Below are 15,701 nucleotides of genomic sequence, written 5' to 3' on the forward strand. Positions count from 1 at the left end.
TATGGTTCACTGCAGTCTCAAACTCCTGGACTCAAGTGATTCTCCTGCCTCAGCCTCCTGAGTAGCTGGGACTACAGGTGTTTGCAACCAGGCCCAGTTAATTTTTTTCTATTTTTTTGTAGAGATGAGGGTCTCACTATGTTGTCCAGGCTGGTCACAAACTCCTGGGGCTCAAGTGGTCCTCCTGCCTCAGCCTCTAAAAGCACTATGATTATAGGTGTAAGCCACCATGCCTGGCCTGTGAAAGTATTTTATTTTTAAGTTATGAACACTAGATAAATTTCAGACATACTATTACTTAGGCAATTAGATAATGACCTGCTGCTAGTCTGGGGTCAGGATAGGGAGGTGAAGCAGGGACCAGTATCTGGAACGTTTGGATTTAAAAAGTAGGATTATTGAAAATGGATTAAAGACTTAAATGTAAAACCCCAAACCATAAAAACCCTAGAAGAAAATCTAGGCAATACCATTCAGGACATAGGCATGGGCAAAGACTTCATGACTAAAACACCAAAAGCAATTGCAACAAAAGCCAAAATTGACAAATGGGATCTAATCCAACTAAAGAGCTTCTGCACAGCAAAAGAAACTATCATCAGAGTGAACAGGCAACCTACAGAATGGGAGAAAGTTTTGCAATCTACCCATCCGACAAAGGTCTAATGTCCAGAATCTACAAGGAACTTAGACAAATTTACAAGAAAAAAACAAACAACCCCATCAAAAAGTGGGCAAAGGATATGAACAGACACTTCTCAAAAGAAGACATTTATGCAGCCAATAAACATATGAAAAAAAGTTCATCATCATTGGTCATTAGAGAAATGCAAATCAAAACCACAGTGAGATACCACCTCACGCCAGTGAGAATGGTGATTATTAAAAAGTCAGGAAACAACAGATTCTGCCAAGGCTATGGAGAAATAGGAATGCTTTTACACTGTTGGTGGGAGTGTAAATTAGTTCAACCATTGTGGAAGACACTGTGGCGATTCCTCAAGGATCTAGAACCAAAATACCATTTGACCCAGCAATCCCATTACTGGGTATATACCCAAAGGATTATAAATCATTCTACTATAAAGACACATGCACATGTATGTTTATTGCAGTGCTATTTACAATAGCAAAGACTTGGAACCAACCCAAATGCCATCGATGATAGACTGGATAAAGACAATGTGGCACATATACACCATGGAATACTATGCAGCCATAAAAAAGAATGAGTTCATGTCATTTGCAGGGACATGGATGAAGCTGGGAGCCATCATTCTAAGCAAAGTAACACAACAGAAAACCAAACTCTGCATATTCTCACTTATAAGTGGGAGTTGAACGATGAGAACACATGGACACAGGGAGGGTAATATCACATACTGGGGCCTGTCGGGGCGTGGGGGAAAGGGGAGGGAGAGCATTAGGACAAATATCTAATGAATGCAGGGCTTAAAACCTAGATGACGGGTTGATAGATGCAGTAAACCACCATGTTTACTGTAACCACCATGTTACATAGGTATACATAGGCACATGTATACCTATGTAACAAACCTGCATGTTCTGCACATGTATCCCAGAACTTAAAGTTAAAAAAAAAATAGTAGGATTACTAAAAAAGCAGGATTACTGGCGGTTGGCAGAGGCCTTTTCTTGAGCTCAGGAATGGATGATGCCACTGAAAGAGCAGATGTGGAAATAAATTCTGGAAATGTTTCGCATACCACTTGTAATGCTGTTTTTAAGATAATTGCTTGGGTAAATAAATTCCTTATACATTGACTAGTAAAGAGATACTCAACTTTGTACATTTGATGCCATATTCACTTGCTGTCTAACTTATGTTACCATGGCATTAATTTAGTATAAATAAAAATGCTCTAGGTCTACTCAGTGCTGAGCCTTGAAATCTCAGCACTCAACATCTCTTATCCACTAAAGCACACACTGTTGTTTACACGTGGAAGACTGACTATGCAGCCAGTCTAGTAAGCAAGCAAGCAAGCAAGCAAGCAGGGTCCTAGATATTAAAAATGACCATTCCTGTAAACCATCAAGCCACAAATCAACAAGCTTAATCACAAAAGTTTCTTGAGGGAACAAAGTTGAAGTAATATCCATTGAGTCATTGTGGAACTATCTGTACTTGTGGTTGATTAGCCAGGTAAGCTGGTTTTTCCTCAGTTTCCTCACCTGTTAAACAAGAGGCAGAATGATGTTCTCTCTAAAACACTTCTTGCTTTGAAATACTATTACTCTAAATAAGACTTTGGAGAAACTCACAAAATACATCCTTGTTAACTCTCAATAAGCCCAAACAATATTCCAGGACCCCACAAAACCAGAAAACTAACAGGACCCCTTGTAGACCAGTCTCTTTGTGCAACGTAGGGAGAAAGGGCGGGGGGGACTAAAGAACCTCCCAAAAGGTATTAAAAATAGCAACATGTAATTATGAAAAATCTTGTTCCACATTAGGTAGCCACATTCAAGAAAAACTGTTGGAGATCTACTATGTCCAAGGCACGGTTTAAGTTATTACTGTTCAATTTTGAAATTATTATTGTTAACTTGTCAGTAATTTCTTAAACCTAAACTGGTGAAACTCTCCTTGGGTGGACATAAAAGTAAAGCCATGGCCAAGGAGGGAGACAGTCTACAAATAAACCAAAAATAAAATACAAGTGACATCATTAAAGGAAAAAAGCCAACACACTGCACAAAGATCAAAGACAAAACAGAGAAACATGTTTGGTTAATACTGGGCTTTGAGTATTTCATGTGCCTGAGAGGCCCGTCCGTCCATCCACACCACACTTCTTCACCATGCTGTTGCAAACCAATGACAAGTTCAGCTTCAGCGCGGACAGGGCGCAGGGCGCAGACCCTGTGCATATCCCAGAATCCCGGACCCACTGCCACTCCACTCTGGGAAGGAAGAAGGCGCTCCCCCTTGGGTGACTGTAAGATAAAGCAGCTTCTTCGATCTCTTTGTCCAATAAGAAAGAAACGTTGGCCCATAAAGAAAGAAAGAAACAAATAAATAGGAAAGGTGTGAGAAGGAAGGGAAGCTCCTTTCTTTTCTGTTTAAATTTCCCGCACCCTTTTACCTCCCCGCCTTCTCAAACGGTCTTTACTTTGAGCAGCAGAGACCCGGACCGCTCAATACCCGGCTATCCCTGGGAGGGTACTTGGAAAGTAGGCGGGACAGGCCGGATGAATAATTCGGTGTCCGACTTTTCCTGCCTGCGGCGCAGTCCCTCCCCGGCTTCGTTACTCGAGTGCACACGCGGCCGGGCTCTCGGCCCTCGATTGCTTCAGCCTATCACCCTGGGATGCCGCCTGCCGCTGCCGCCGCCGCCGCCGCCGCCACCGCCACCGCCACCGCCACCGCCACCGCCGTGGCTGCCGGGTTTGTGGGATCCGCCGCGGAGCAGGAGCCAGAGCTGTGGCCGGAGCTGTGGCCTGAGAGTCAGGGGGCGGGCAGGCTCATTCCAGAAGTGGGGGCCGAGGACAGGCGGGCTAGAACCCGGGGCCACCGCCCCCTACCCCTCCTCAGGCTGAGGGAACGGGCACTCGGAGCTTCTGAGGCGGCGGCGGCGGGAGCCGGTCAGAGGGGGCGGCCCCTGGCGGCGACGCCCCCAAGCCCAGCCCTGCCCGGCCCCGCTCCATCCCCAGCCAGAGCCTGGTCTGACCGCGAGAGACGCCGGCGGGGCTGAAGAAGGCGGCTCCGAGGAGGTGGGAGGGCGAGCCTCCCCTCCCGGGTTCTTCTGCGTCCTCTCCCGGGAGGGACCCACACACACCTGAGCCCGGACCCACCCTTGGTCGGGGCCACGCTGGATCCTCCTCCCGGCCTGGGTCCCGCCCGCCGACTGCAGGTGGGCTGCATCGCCCGAGCCTCGGGCAGTGGGCGACGGGGAAGGAGGTGAGAGGTGTCCGCGCCGGCTGCCGCTCGGGTCCCTGCCCTCGCTGCGCGCTCTCCTCCTCCCCTTACCGCAGGCAGGGCGCGGAGCCGCGCGCCAGCCCGCCCCGAAGCCGCCGCCTCGTCCCCCTCCCGCCTCGGGGCACCATGGAGCTCTCTCCGTCGTCCGGAGGAGCCGCGGAGGCGCTGTCCTGGCCGGAGATGTTCCCGGCGCTGGAGTCCGACTCGCCGCTGCCCCCGGAGGACCTGGACGCGGTTGTCCCAGTCAGTGGAGCCGTCGCCGGTGGCATGTTGGATCGGATCCTTCTGGAGTCCGTGTGCCAGCAACAGAGCTGGGTCCGGGTGTACGGTAAGGACCACAGGCCGTCTTAGAGGCTGGTGTTTCCTATTTTTGCTTGGGCTGAAATTCATTCCCTAAGTCACAGGCTCATTCCCAGTCCTCATCCGTGCTAGGTCAGTTTCCCACATCCCTTTTTGTTCTGGGGGTGCATTTCTGACAAGTTTCTTCAGACTATCACTTGGGCAGGGATGTCACTCAGTATGGTCTTTGGACCTCTTCAGACACCTGCAGTAAGTTTAATGCGGGAGTTGGGCTATCCAAGACGTAATTCTTAGGCGATTACTTCAAGGGAACAGCCAGGCAATCAATCTTCAAGAAGGTATGATGGAAAAACTCCATGAAACCAAGTGAATGGATTTTCGTCTCTTTTTATTGTTGAATGAGGCAAGACTGGAAACCAAGATATTATGAAAAAGCAGAGGATAAGCTAATGAATGAAAAAAATGCAAACTATGTATTTGGTGGGAGCAAGACTAATCTATAACCTCTGCCTGAACCTCACTCTCTCTAAAAGCAACCACTTATTCCAACGGGTGTGGATTGTTTCAGATTACACTATTGTTTCTGAATCTCGTTGTAAAGTGACTGGGTTGCCACTCAGCAGGTTAAAAGTGATGAACACACTAAAACTTTCCCTTTCTGCATTCCTGGTAACCACCTCTTTAATTAAAACTGAATGATGAGATTCTATTAGGGTGAGCCTTGTGGCAGCACTAAAACCATGCTGGTTTTGAAAACTCATAGCTTAAGGATTTATAGCCTGGCATTCAGGACTGAGCTGTGGCTTTCCAAAATATTGAAACGGCAAGATGTTTATCGCCTAGCTCACGTGACTGCAGAAGACATTAGTAACGTGGCTGAGTATAAGATGGCAAATTTGAAGCACCTGGGATCAAACACAATGTTAAGATGTTATCCTGCAGTCTTGTGCATCTAAGCCTGTAGTGATCAAGTACCTTATGTTTTTTTCTTTCATCTTTCTGAACAGGGTATATGCTTACTATTCAAGAGTGACCAAGACTTAGGTTTTTTTCTGTGTAGTTCAGTTGATTTGAAGACTTAATGTCCATCGCAAAGATCATAGAACTAGGAGTCCAGAGATCTCAGTTCTTGTCTCAGTTCTACCACTAAATGGCTATGGGATTTGGGGCAGATCGAGTCACATTTTTGGCTTGTGATTCCTCATCTGTAAAGTGAGTGGATTGGATTAAATCATCACTAGTGACCCTTTTAATCATAAAAATCCAGGAATTCTTCTTATAACCAGTTCTTAAGGATTTGTGTACCACTTTGTATTTTGCTGGCTGTTTCTTGATGTTACTCTACGTACCGGAAGATTTAAAGCAAAGGAGTGGGAGACGATGCAAGGTCACCCAGTTTGTTCTCAGCAAATTAGATTAAAAACTTTGGTGCCTGATTTTCCGTCTGCCTGCTAAATCCCACTTAGCTGGTCATTTAGAACAAAGGTTGGTGAGAATCTGAAAGTGCATATGAATTAGAGTATATTGTAGTTACAACGTTTTCCCATTCTATCATCTTTCTCTCCTTACACACTTCTTTGGCATACTGTTTATTTGTGTGATGTTAGAAATAGGGCCATGCTATTCTAAGAATACATGTATATGATAATTCGGTATTTCAGTATCCAAAACAATCTGGGTTCTCTGGACCTAGTGTTAACTATCGTTCTTCATTTGTAAGGACATAAAAGTCTACAAATGTATGTTGTTTTGTAGTCCATTCCTAGGGGTTGATTTGTGAAATATATATTGTATATTTTGTGTGTGTGTGTGTGTGTGTGTAAGAGAGAGAGAGAGTGAGAGCAAGTTTACATTATGTTTTTTTTCTTTCGTCCTTCTGAACAGGATATATGTTTATTGTTCAAGAGTGACCACGACTTAGAAGTTTTCTTTCTGCGTGGTTCAATTGATGTCAAGACTTCATATCAGACATCACAGAAATGCATGGTATGTATATGTGTGTGACACACACATATACATACCATGCCTTGCATTTTTGTGACCAATTGCAGACTTACCACTGCATTGTAACTTTTTTTGTTTTCTCTATCAATTAACCAGAAGTTGTTTTTATTTATTGTTTAGTATTGCTACTTTCCTTCCTCTGAGGCAGCTCATCCTGGATACTATTTTGTTGTCTTTAGTTTATGTAAATATTTCAGAACTATTGGAATGACTCTTGGCTATGTCCTTAGCTAGTTTTAAGTTGCCTATTGTATGAACAGGGTGTATGTTTGAAAACTTTGAAGTAAAAACTTTGAAATAAAAGTAATAGAATGTAGAAAAACAATTTGGAGAATACAGAATTTTTGTTTTTCTTGTTTCTTGTCTGTGTGTTCAAAACCTTCGTTGTCTTGGATCACCTAGGTTCTTCTCACAATTTAAAGAGACTTTGATGAGTGTAGTCTAACATGTTTCAGGGAAATCTACAAATTGGGAACCTAGTCTAGAGGATACAACTAGAAGCTTAGAGTATTGGTTTCATTCTGGCTTTGCCACAAGTTGGTTGTCTAATTCTGGGCAGGTAGTTTTAACTCATGGCCTCTAGGTTTCAGCATAAAAGTGGAATCTGGAGTAATTGGTATCTGTGGTCCCTTTTAGCTTTAAAGTTGTCTGATTCTGTGGCTTGGCCCATTATTTTACCTGCAGGTTGGCCTATAATCTTTATCCTGGCTCTTGGGGCCAGGCATTAACCAAGCCCTTAACTTAATGCATTTAAATCATGATTGTCAGGGAATTCTGGGGAGCAGTTTTATCAAAAGGTCAGTGAACTGAGTTTTCAAAGAAGATATATTGAAGGCAGATGTTTATTTATTTGGAATGTTTTCACAAGATAGGAAGATGAGTATGGCGATGTTGCTTAGGTCTAGTTCATCCAGTTTTGAGACCTAACCTACATAGCCATGTGGGTTCTAAAGGTAGGATAATAATAAGGAACTTTATTAAGTGCAATTTGCATCTCCTGCAATATACTTCTGTTTGAAATCATGATGGGAACAAACAACAACAGAAGTAACCCCCCAAAGAATATCTTAACAGGAACTTCTAGAAACAATATTTTATTAGTTTGCCTCACAAAATTTGAAGACTAGGCACTGTTTTGAGTTTCTTGTTGACAGGTTTGGCTCCTTGGTTGATAATACATATATATTGTGTACATATGTATATATTGTCATAATACGTATACTCAGGGTTTTGTGTATTGCCATGATTTGGAAAACTTTTCTGGAATATGTTCAGAGCTTTATAATAGGTGGCTCTATATTTAGAACACAAACTAATGCACATTTTTGAGATGTGGCTGAGAGAAAAATATTTGTGCTGTCTGTCCTAATCTTCATTTCCTTGTAGTTGTAAAATGTTTCATTTGTTTTATTCCAGTATTATAAGTTGTGCCCATGCCTTGTCAAGACTATAAAATTTTTGATATCAGGGAGCCTTGTTTATCTTTGTATTCTTATCTTGCCACCCCCTTCATTGTCAACTTGTCTGCCAGATTGGTACCTTGCTCATAGTAAGTCAGTGTCTGTTGTATGTTGATCCGTTTGTCCTTTGACCATCCAGATCTCAACCTGACTGACTGTATGGGTGGTAGAGTAGCTTAAACAAAGGCATGCCACAAACAGCTAAATATGGATACAGAATCCAAGAGCATCAAATGCAGAACATTTTTCAGATATTTATAGCCTCAAAGCAAAGTCAATTGGCTGAAAAAGCTCAGCAGCATAGCGAAAGGAAACGGGAGTGGCAAAGCCAGCCTCACTGTCTGTGCTTTCTGGTAAACAATGAGAACATTAAAATTAAATACTTTACCATGAATGGATGGGGAGTGTAGGACACTCTGGGAGAAATTTAAGATCCCAATCTCTAGGATTGCCTGCGGTGGAGCTCTGCACTCATCAGTATGACAGGTCTGCAAGTATGTGCTCAGATATGCTCTTGGAGAGTTAGAAGGGAAATATAATCAGCACAAGAAAGGGATCAACAAGAAATCTTGTACTTTTAAATTTTAATATTATCAGAAGGAATTAGGTAAAATATTCTGTTAAGAAAATGAATAGCATCAACATTATTACCATTAAGCTTGTATACAGCTCATTGTTTATTGATAACAACATAGGGACCTGCTGGAAAATTTCAAAGGGCTAGTACTATTTAAGCAAACAGAAGAAAAAGGGAATTAATCATACTTCATTAAGTACCTTATAATTCCAGAAATGTGGCAGTGGGAATTCGGTAAGAATTAATAGAAGTTCATATTCAAGAAGTGAATATGAGCTGATGAGACAGAAGTCATATCTGGTTGTATTATATGATACTGCTTACGCCTCACCAATTAAGACACAGGATGAGATTTTTAAAAGTTACGTTTCTAGAGGTTATGTCTCTAAATTTATTTAAAATGTTGCAACTAGTATGGCTAGAAGAAAATCAGTGAGTGTGTATAAAATACATCCCCAAACATGTTCATGTTCCTTAAATGTCTTAATTTCCTCAGGTACTGTTAATTGAATCTTTACACCTGAGTAGTCATATTTTAGAAATTTTTGGAATCTTAAGCTTGAGTTCAATACTTAGGATGTGGCATAGGCTTGTTGATGTATTAGTTTCCAATGATTTCCAAATACATTAAAACACATTAAGAATAGACAGTTTTTCATTGAAATCAGAGAGAACTTCTAAGAATGCCTAGGCATGTACTGTTTAAGTGACTTTAAATAGCCCCCTTTTTTCTTCTTTTGAGAGAAAATTTGTATGTCTTATTTAAATTGTGTGCTCTATTAATGTAGGTGATAGTTTCATTTATAACATCTTAGTATTGTTCTACCCTCTATCATGTTGGTTCACTGCTATTTGATTTTCAAACAGTGAAAATATTTTTAAGGAATAGAATTATACATCCACAATCTCTTTTCCAAAACCATTTGGACTAGACAGTTATGTTAATATTTCTGCAGTTAAACAAGTGAATAGGCCGGGCGTGGTGGCTCACGCCTGTAATCCCAGCACTTTGGGAGGCCGAGGCAGGTGGATCACTTGAGGTCAGGAGTTCAAGACCAGCCTGGCCAACATGGTGAAACCCCGTTTCTACTAAAGTACAAAGAAATTAGCCGGGTGTGGTGGCATGCACCTGTAATCCCAGCTACTTGGGAGGCTGAGGCAGGAGAATCGCTTGAACCAGGGAGGGGGAGATTGCAGTGAGCTGTGATTCCACCGTTGCACTGCAGCCTGGGTGACAGAGTGAGACTATCTCAAAAAAAAAACAAAATCATACCAAGTGGTATAAAGACTATAAATAGCCTTATGTCAGTGCAGGTCAGACTTTACTGCCAGAAAAGTTGCATACAGTCTTTTGCTTTTCAGAGCTTTTTTGATTTAGGAATTGCAGATATGGAATTGAGGATCTGTACAAATCTTCAGACATAAATAATACAAAGTTCTAGAACACCCCTCTTTAAGAATAGTTTGTGTGGATATCCTTTATCTTTTTCAGATAATAACATTTACTGAACACATTTTTAAAAATGGGCCGGGCGCGGTGGCTTATGCCCATAATTCCAGCACTTTAGGAGGCCAAGGTGGGCGGATCACCTGAGGTAAGGAGTTTGAGACCAGCCTGGCCAACATGGTGAAACCTTGTCTCTACTATAAATACAAAAAAAAAAAAAAATTAGCAGGGCATGGTGGCACATCTGTAATCCCAGCTACTCGGGATGCTGAGGCACGAGAATCGCTTGAGCCCAGGAGGGAGAGGTTGCAGCTAGCTGAGATCGTGCCACTGCACTCCAGCCTGGGCAACAGAGCGAGACTCAGTCTCAAATAAAAAAAAAAAAAAAAAGTTGTACAGTTGTGTTTCCTACTATAGTGAGTGAAATTTCTGTGGTTTGCTAAGAAAAAGAAAAGAGATTCACATGACATAGTAGGCTTTACCAAGATTATTAAGGAAATGGTGGCAAGGTAGTGGTTTCGGATCCTTTGTTTCATTAGAAGGAAGGATGAGGTAAGTTGAAATAGAGGGTTTATGTAATTGTTCTTTGCAGTTGCTTTCTTCAGTAGCACAAAGTGATTTGATCACCTTTTAAGTAGGTGAACCACAAAAAAGCATTCAACTAATGACAGTTAATTCAGAAAAACTTCAGCTGTTTGCTCCCTTGTCCCTCCCTATTGGAAAAACTTTTAACTAACTAGAGAGTTGTTTGGTCTTGTTAACCAGGAGGAGGAGTTTGAAGTGTGCTAAGGGCACTGCTAAAATTGCTTCACCCTATCTTGGTAGAGGGATAATTGCTGTCTGATGTTTGTAAAAACACCTTTCTTCCCAAAGGCTGTCAAGTACTTCTTAAGGCTAGCATGTAGAAAACCCTTTTGCAAATTTCATGTAGTTTATTTTATAGTGAGAGGGCAGCCCATCAAGAAGTAATGTGGTTCACAAGTAGAAGGGAAAAGAGAAGTCTTGAGGCCCAGTGCAGTGGTGTTAGTGAGTATACAGTAAACAAAAGAAATAAAAATTGAACCCTTAAAGGCATAAAAACATTTCATTTGCTAGACTATGATACAGAAGTTATCACTTTCCTAATCTCTACAGCTGGGTTCAGATATGAGCTGTCTGAATTTTACCTTCCCTTACCAGGTGTTAGTAACATCAATTAATTGTCTTTGTTGGCTTTGCTCATAAGGGTTCAGTTTAGATCCTGATTGTATTTTTACCCCTCCATAAATTATCTTCAACATTGCTCGAGTTCCATTCACATTGTGTCACTTGTAGCAGACTTTCTAAAAGTACCCCTTACCTCCATCCCTGAGTCTAAGGGATTGGTAATACTTATAGATATTGATTGAGAGAGTGAAAATTTAGTGAGGGGAAAACATTCAACATAGATAAGATAACAAAATTCGGAAGAGTAGTCTGAAAAGTTAAAATGAAACCTTAAAGTCAATAGTTTTTGATATTTTTCAAAGCAATCCTTTAGGTTTTCTCATTGAAGAAACTGGCTCAGGAAGTTTAGCTTATTCCCAAAATTGGAGACAGACTCCACAGTTTGTCAGGATTGGAACTCTTAACCTCAGATTCCTTAGCCTCCTGATTTAGCTTCTAGATCTTGCTGCCTTCCCTTAGGGAGATGGCCTCTCAAAGCTGAAGGTCAGGAAAACTCGACAGTGAGAAATACCAGATTGTTAGTTTCACAGTCTTTTAAGGGAAATGCTGGAAATACCATTACCTAGGTAACAGAAAACAAAAATGGACAAAACATCCATAAAGTAGGAGGATGAAAATAATTTCATAGTAATCCTTAAGAGATAGACCAGAGGACAGATGAGATTTTTTTTTTCATATTTTTCCTAAGCTTATTATGCATACTTTTTTTGGTGCTGTGATTGGAAGTGATGTCTGAAGGAAATTTGAATTTCATATATGATGCTTAGAACCCTGAATAATACCTAATAACTTTGTACCTTCCACTTGAATTTCTAACCTCTGATTCCTGTCATTAAAAATTAATACCCTTTTTCTGATTATGAATATAATTTGTGCTTAACATAAAGAATTAGAATTTTAGGAAAAGCCAAAATTAAAATCATTTGTAATTCTACCTCTTAGAGATAACTATCATTTTTTTTTAAATATTATATTTTAGAGACGGGGTCTCATTCTGTTGCCAAGGTTGGAGTGCAGTGGCGCAATCATAGCTCATGCCCAGGTTGGAGTGCAGTGGCGCAATCATAGCTTACATATTATCCATTGCCTGGGTTCAGGGGATCCTTCCACCTCAGCCTCCCGAATAACTGGGACTACAGGAGTGTGCTACCACACCTGGCTGAGATAATTATTCTTTTAATATTTTATTGTGTTTTATTCCAGTCTTTTTTGTGTACAGATTTTTTTGTATTAATACATATTTGGTATCAAACTGCATATATTTTACATTCTACTTTTTTTCTCTTAAGTGTATTTTCTCATGTTATTGAAAACATTAACACATTTTTTTAAATATGTTATTTATTTTAAAAAATAGGTAATATATTCCTTTGTTCCAAAATTCAGAGTATAAAAAGATATTCCATGAGCTCTCTCTTACTCTTCCTCCCTGCCTCTACAACTTGCCATCTGGCAGGCATGGTCCCTCTTCCCAATCAATAAATACTTGAAATTGTTATGTATCTTTCCATACCTATTCCACGTGCATAGAAGCAAATGTAGAGATAGATAGATATGTAAAAATCCTGCCATAAGTGGGATCCAAGAAATCTAGTTTACAAAAAATTCAGGGTTATATTTCTGTGAGGTTAGTGAAATGACCAGAACAAACCTGCAAATGAAGTTGGCCATGAGTTCTGGGGGTCTGGAGCCGGTAAATTGCTTTATATCTGAAATGATATCATAGGTTTTTACTGTATATATGCATTTTTCTCTATTTTTACACGTATGATAACCCATTAGAACTGATTTTTATCTGCACTTTGAGATTGCTTCTTCTTTCTTCCCCCCGCCCCTCACTTATTAATGTATCTCAGATATATTTTCCTTTCATTTTGTAAAGAGGTACCTCATTCTTTTTATGGCTGCATAATGCCTGAATTAATCATAACTCATTTAATTATTCCCCAAGTTTTGCTAGTTCAAGTGATTTTGCAGTGAATGATCTTGAGTATAAGCCATTTTGCTTGTGTATGAGCATATCTGTAAGAAAAATACATAGAATTGCTAGGTCAAAGGTACGTGTATTTGTAATTTTGAAAGATATTGCCAAATTGCCCTACCTGTCTGTACTTCGCCCGCAATATATGAGAGTGCCTGTCTCCCCACACATAATGAATTATCACGAAATTTTGGATCAGACAATCTGAAAGGTAAAAATGGTGTCTTAATTTAATTTTTTTTAATATCTTTTACATTAAGTGTGATTGAACATCTTTTCATTTTTAAGAGTCATTTAAATATAACCTTTTCTGTGAACTGTACATACCTTTTGCCCATTTTTATTGGGTTCTTGGATCTTTTTCTTAGTGATTTGTAGGAACTATTAGTATATTAAGCAAAGCATACTAAGGAACTCTTAGTATTTAAGTAAAGAACCCTTTATCTGCAACAGTTGCCAGTATTTTCATTTTTCTTATGGTATTCCCCCCACCCTTATGAAGAAATGATTCTTACACAATTGAATGTATCGGATTTTTCTTTTATGGCTTTTTGGTTTTATGTCAGAATGTATTTTATGTTAGAATGGGCTTTCCTGGGAGTTCTCTGGACCTTTATTTTGTAACCTCAGAATAGGAAAGCCCATTCTTTTTTTTTCCCCCTCTACATACACTAAGTACCTAAATACCCTTGGGGGACAAAAAAAAGAGTGGGCTTTCCTGTTCTGAGGTTATGAAATAATTCTCTCTTGGTTTATCTAGTACTTCGTTGGTTTTATTTTTTACATTCAAATCTTTAATCCAGTCTGGTATTAAATATGAGATATGGATCCAATTTCATTTTTTGAAAGATGGCTTTCCAGTTGTCCTACCATCATTTGTTGAAGAAACCAGCTTTTTCGCACTGATTTAAGAAGACTTCTTTATTCTATACAAGATTGCCATTTATATTTTGGGTTATTTCAAGATTTTCTATTCTGTTCTATTGGTCTGTTTATATTCATGTGCCAGTATCACACAGCTTTATTGTTGAGACTTTATAATATGAAAATACAATTTTTAATGACTAACATTATTTAACCATTATTCTATTTTAGATGTTAACATTTTTCAAAAAGTTTAACACTTTACTGATTTGTCTTTGTGCACAAATCTTTGATCCAAACTTCTGAATGTTTTCTTATGCTGAATTCCTAGAAGAGTATGAAATGTTTTTAAAGGCCTGAGATTTAGTGCGAAATTGGTGAAACCTTCCTGGAAAGTAATTCCTGCCTCTAGTATGTGAAATATGGCTCATAATTTTAAGTTCTACTGCTGTGTTGCTACTTTCAATGTATTAAAATCTTTTTACATAAATTTTATATAATACCTTAAACGTTACTTAGCACATATTAAATGCCTTGAGTCTTTATGCCTTTAAGACTGTCCTTCAAAAACTTAGTTGTTGTTTAAATGGTACTCCTTTTTATTAATGGCATATTTCCAAGTGAATGAGGGAAGGGCGGGAGTATAGACTCAAAGCAATTGGTCTGCTAAAGGTCAAATCCATGACCGTGACCTTACTTGTATTATGTCAGACCCTCCAACTGAAATAACTTGATGCAGACATATGTTTTAGGTATTCTAAGAAGCACACAGTTGGTAACTTTTATCTCAGCTAGAAGGAGTTGACATTCATGAAAGTTATTTTGAACATGATTTGAATATAGTTTCATTTAGTTTTACCTGGATGAGTGATTGAGTTGTATGTCTTATATAATACTGTGTTAATGACCCAGTTTTATAGCATGGGATTAATTTAGGTATGTTCTGAGGAAAGTTTTTCATAATGTTAAACAAAGCCAAATCCAAGTAATGGCAACAAGAACTAATATTAATGATTAAAGTAATTTAAAATCTTTTCTTCAGAAAAAATAATGGCAGGAATAGGAATAAGACTATGGAAAAAATCATATTTTATATAGACCGTTAACAAAGTTAACCAAATTTTCTTTTACCATTTAGCTGTTTAGCATGTAATACATAAGCATAAGCTTGTCTTGCTAGGCCAGAAAGGAGCAAACTTAGAAAAAGAACAAACTGTTTTTAACTTTTAACAATGACTTAAAGTAGTTTGAAAGTGAAATGAAAAAATAATCCCTTATCCAGTTAATACTCTGGAGGTTTGTAGGAAAATTTGTTTAATTCGGGCAGGATAGAATATGCAAATATCTTGCTCCATAAATAAGTACTAAATAATGAAGACATATGAAGGATATGATACAGTGGGAAAGTATGGCAGTATTTTTGTCAGTTTTTGAAGTGTATGAAATTACTAGACACATTCTCTTTTTGTTTTTTGGGGTTCTTTTTTTTTTTTTTGAGACGGAGTCTTGTTCTGTCACTCAGGCTGGAGTGCTGTGGCTCTATCTTGGCTCACTGTAGCCTGGACCTCCCAGGCTCAAGGGATCCTCCCACCAAGTAGGTGCTACTTCAGGTGTGCACCACTGCGCCCAGCTAGTTTTTTGTTTACTTTTTGTAGAGACGAGGTCTCACTGTGTTGCCCAGGCTGGTTTTGAACTTCTAAGCTCAAGCAATCCTCTTGCCCCAGCCTTCCAAAGTGCTGTGATTATAGGCATGAGCTGCTGTACCCAGCCACGTTTTCTTTTTGAACTCAGTAAAAATCAATTGTAGTTTTAAAGCATTTTACTAATTTAGTTCATGGAAACATGAAATCGCTGTAGATGACAACATTATTGTTAGGAGTTAATCTATAACTCTGTTGCTCTGAGGGATACACTGA

At 39.6% G+C, this 15,701-nt stretch overlaps 1 protein-coding gene and 1 long non-coding RNA gene across 5 annotated transcripts in view, besides 6 other annotated features; one reads left to right on the forward strand and one right to left on the reverse strand.

The window, feature by feature from the left end:
• Positions 1,088-3,573, reverse strand: RASAL2-AS1 (RASAL2 antisense RNA 1). Its single transcript, NR_027982.1, has 2 exons — positions 3,141-3,573; positions 1,088-2,992 (listed from the first exon to the last, which is right to left on the reverse strand). It is a non-coding gene; the product is annotated as an RASAL2 antisense RNA 1 (long non-coding RNA).
• Positions 3,160-3,661: an enhancer, noted in NCBI's record as "H3K27ac hESC enhancer chr1:178062715-178063216 (GRCh37/hg19 assembly coordinates)". NCBI's record gives its function as "activates a minimal SCP1, AML or CMV promoter by ChIP-STARR-seq in primed H9 embryonic stem cells {active_cell/tissue: H9 hESC(primed)}" and the evidence as "EXISTENCE:reporter gene assay evidence [ECO:0000049][PMID:30033119]".
• Positions 3,160-3,682: a biological region, named in NCBI's record as "H3K27ac hESC enhancer GRCh37_chr1:178062715-178063216".
• Positions 3,283-3,332: a silencer, noted in NCBI's record as "silent region_1573". NCBI's record gives its function as "represses an Ori minimal core promoter by ATAC-STARR-seq in GM12878 lymphoblastoid cells {active_cell/tissue: GM12878}" and the evidence as "EXISTENCE:reporter gene assay evidence [ECO:0000049][PMID:35858748]".
• Positions 3,383-3,682: a silencer, noted in NCBI's record as "silent region_1574". NCBI's record gives its function as "represses an Ori minimal core promoter by ATAC-STARR-seq in GM12878 lymphoblastoid cells {active_cell/tissue: GM12878}" and the evidence as "EXISTENCE:reporter gene assay evidence [ECO:0000049][PMID:35858748]".
• Positions 3,684-15,701, forward strand: part of RASAL2 (RAS protein activator like 2) — a 384,747-nt gene continuing 372,729 nt past the window's right edge. For all 4 annotated transcript variants that reach the window (NM_001437625.1, NM_001437626.1, NM_001437627.1 and 1 more), the window contains exon 1: positions 3,684-4,274. In NM_001437625.1, coding sequence (NP_001424554.1) covers positions 4,073-4,274 — 202 coding nt within the window. In that variant the 5' untranslated portion in view covers positions 3,684-4,072. The remainder of the gene's footprint in view (positions 4,275-15,701) is intronic.
• Positions 3,753-3,912: a silencer, noted in NCBI's record as "silent region_1575". NCBI's record gives its function as "represses an Ori minimal core promoter by ATAC-STARR-seq in GM12878 lymphoblastoid cells {active_cell/tissue: GM12878}" and the evidence as "EXISTENCE:reporter gene assay evidence [ECO:0000049][PMID:35858748]".
• Positions 4,063-4,122: a silencer, noted in NCBI's record as "silent region_1576". NCBI's record gives its function as "represses an Ori minimal core promoter by ATAC-STARR-seq in GM12878 lymphoblastoid cells {active_cell/tissue: GM12878}" and the evidence as "EXISTENCE:reporter gene assay evidence [ECO:0000049][PMID:35858748]".

This window comes from Homo sapiens, chromosome 1 (assembly GCF_000001405.40).
Source record: "Homo sapiens chromosome 1, GRCh38.p14 Primary Assembly".
Classification (NCBI taxonomy): domain Eukaryota; kingdom Metazoa; phylum Chordata; class Mammalia; order Primates; family Hominidae; genus Homo; species Homo sapiens.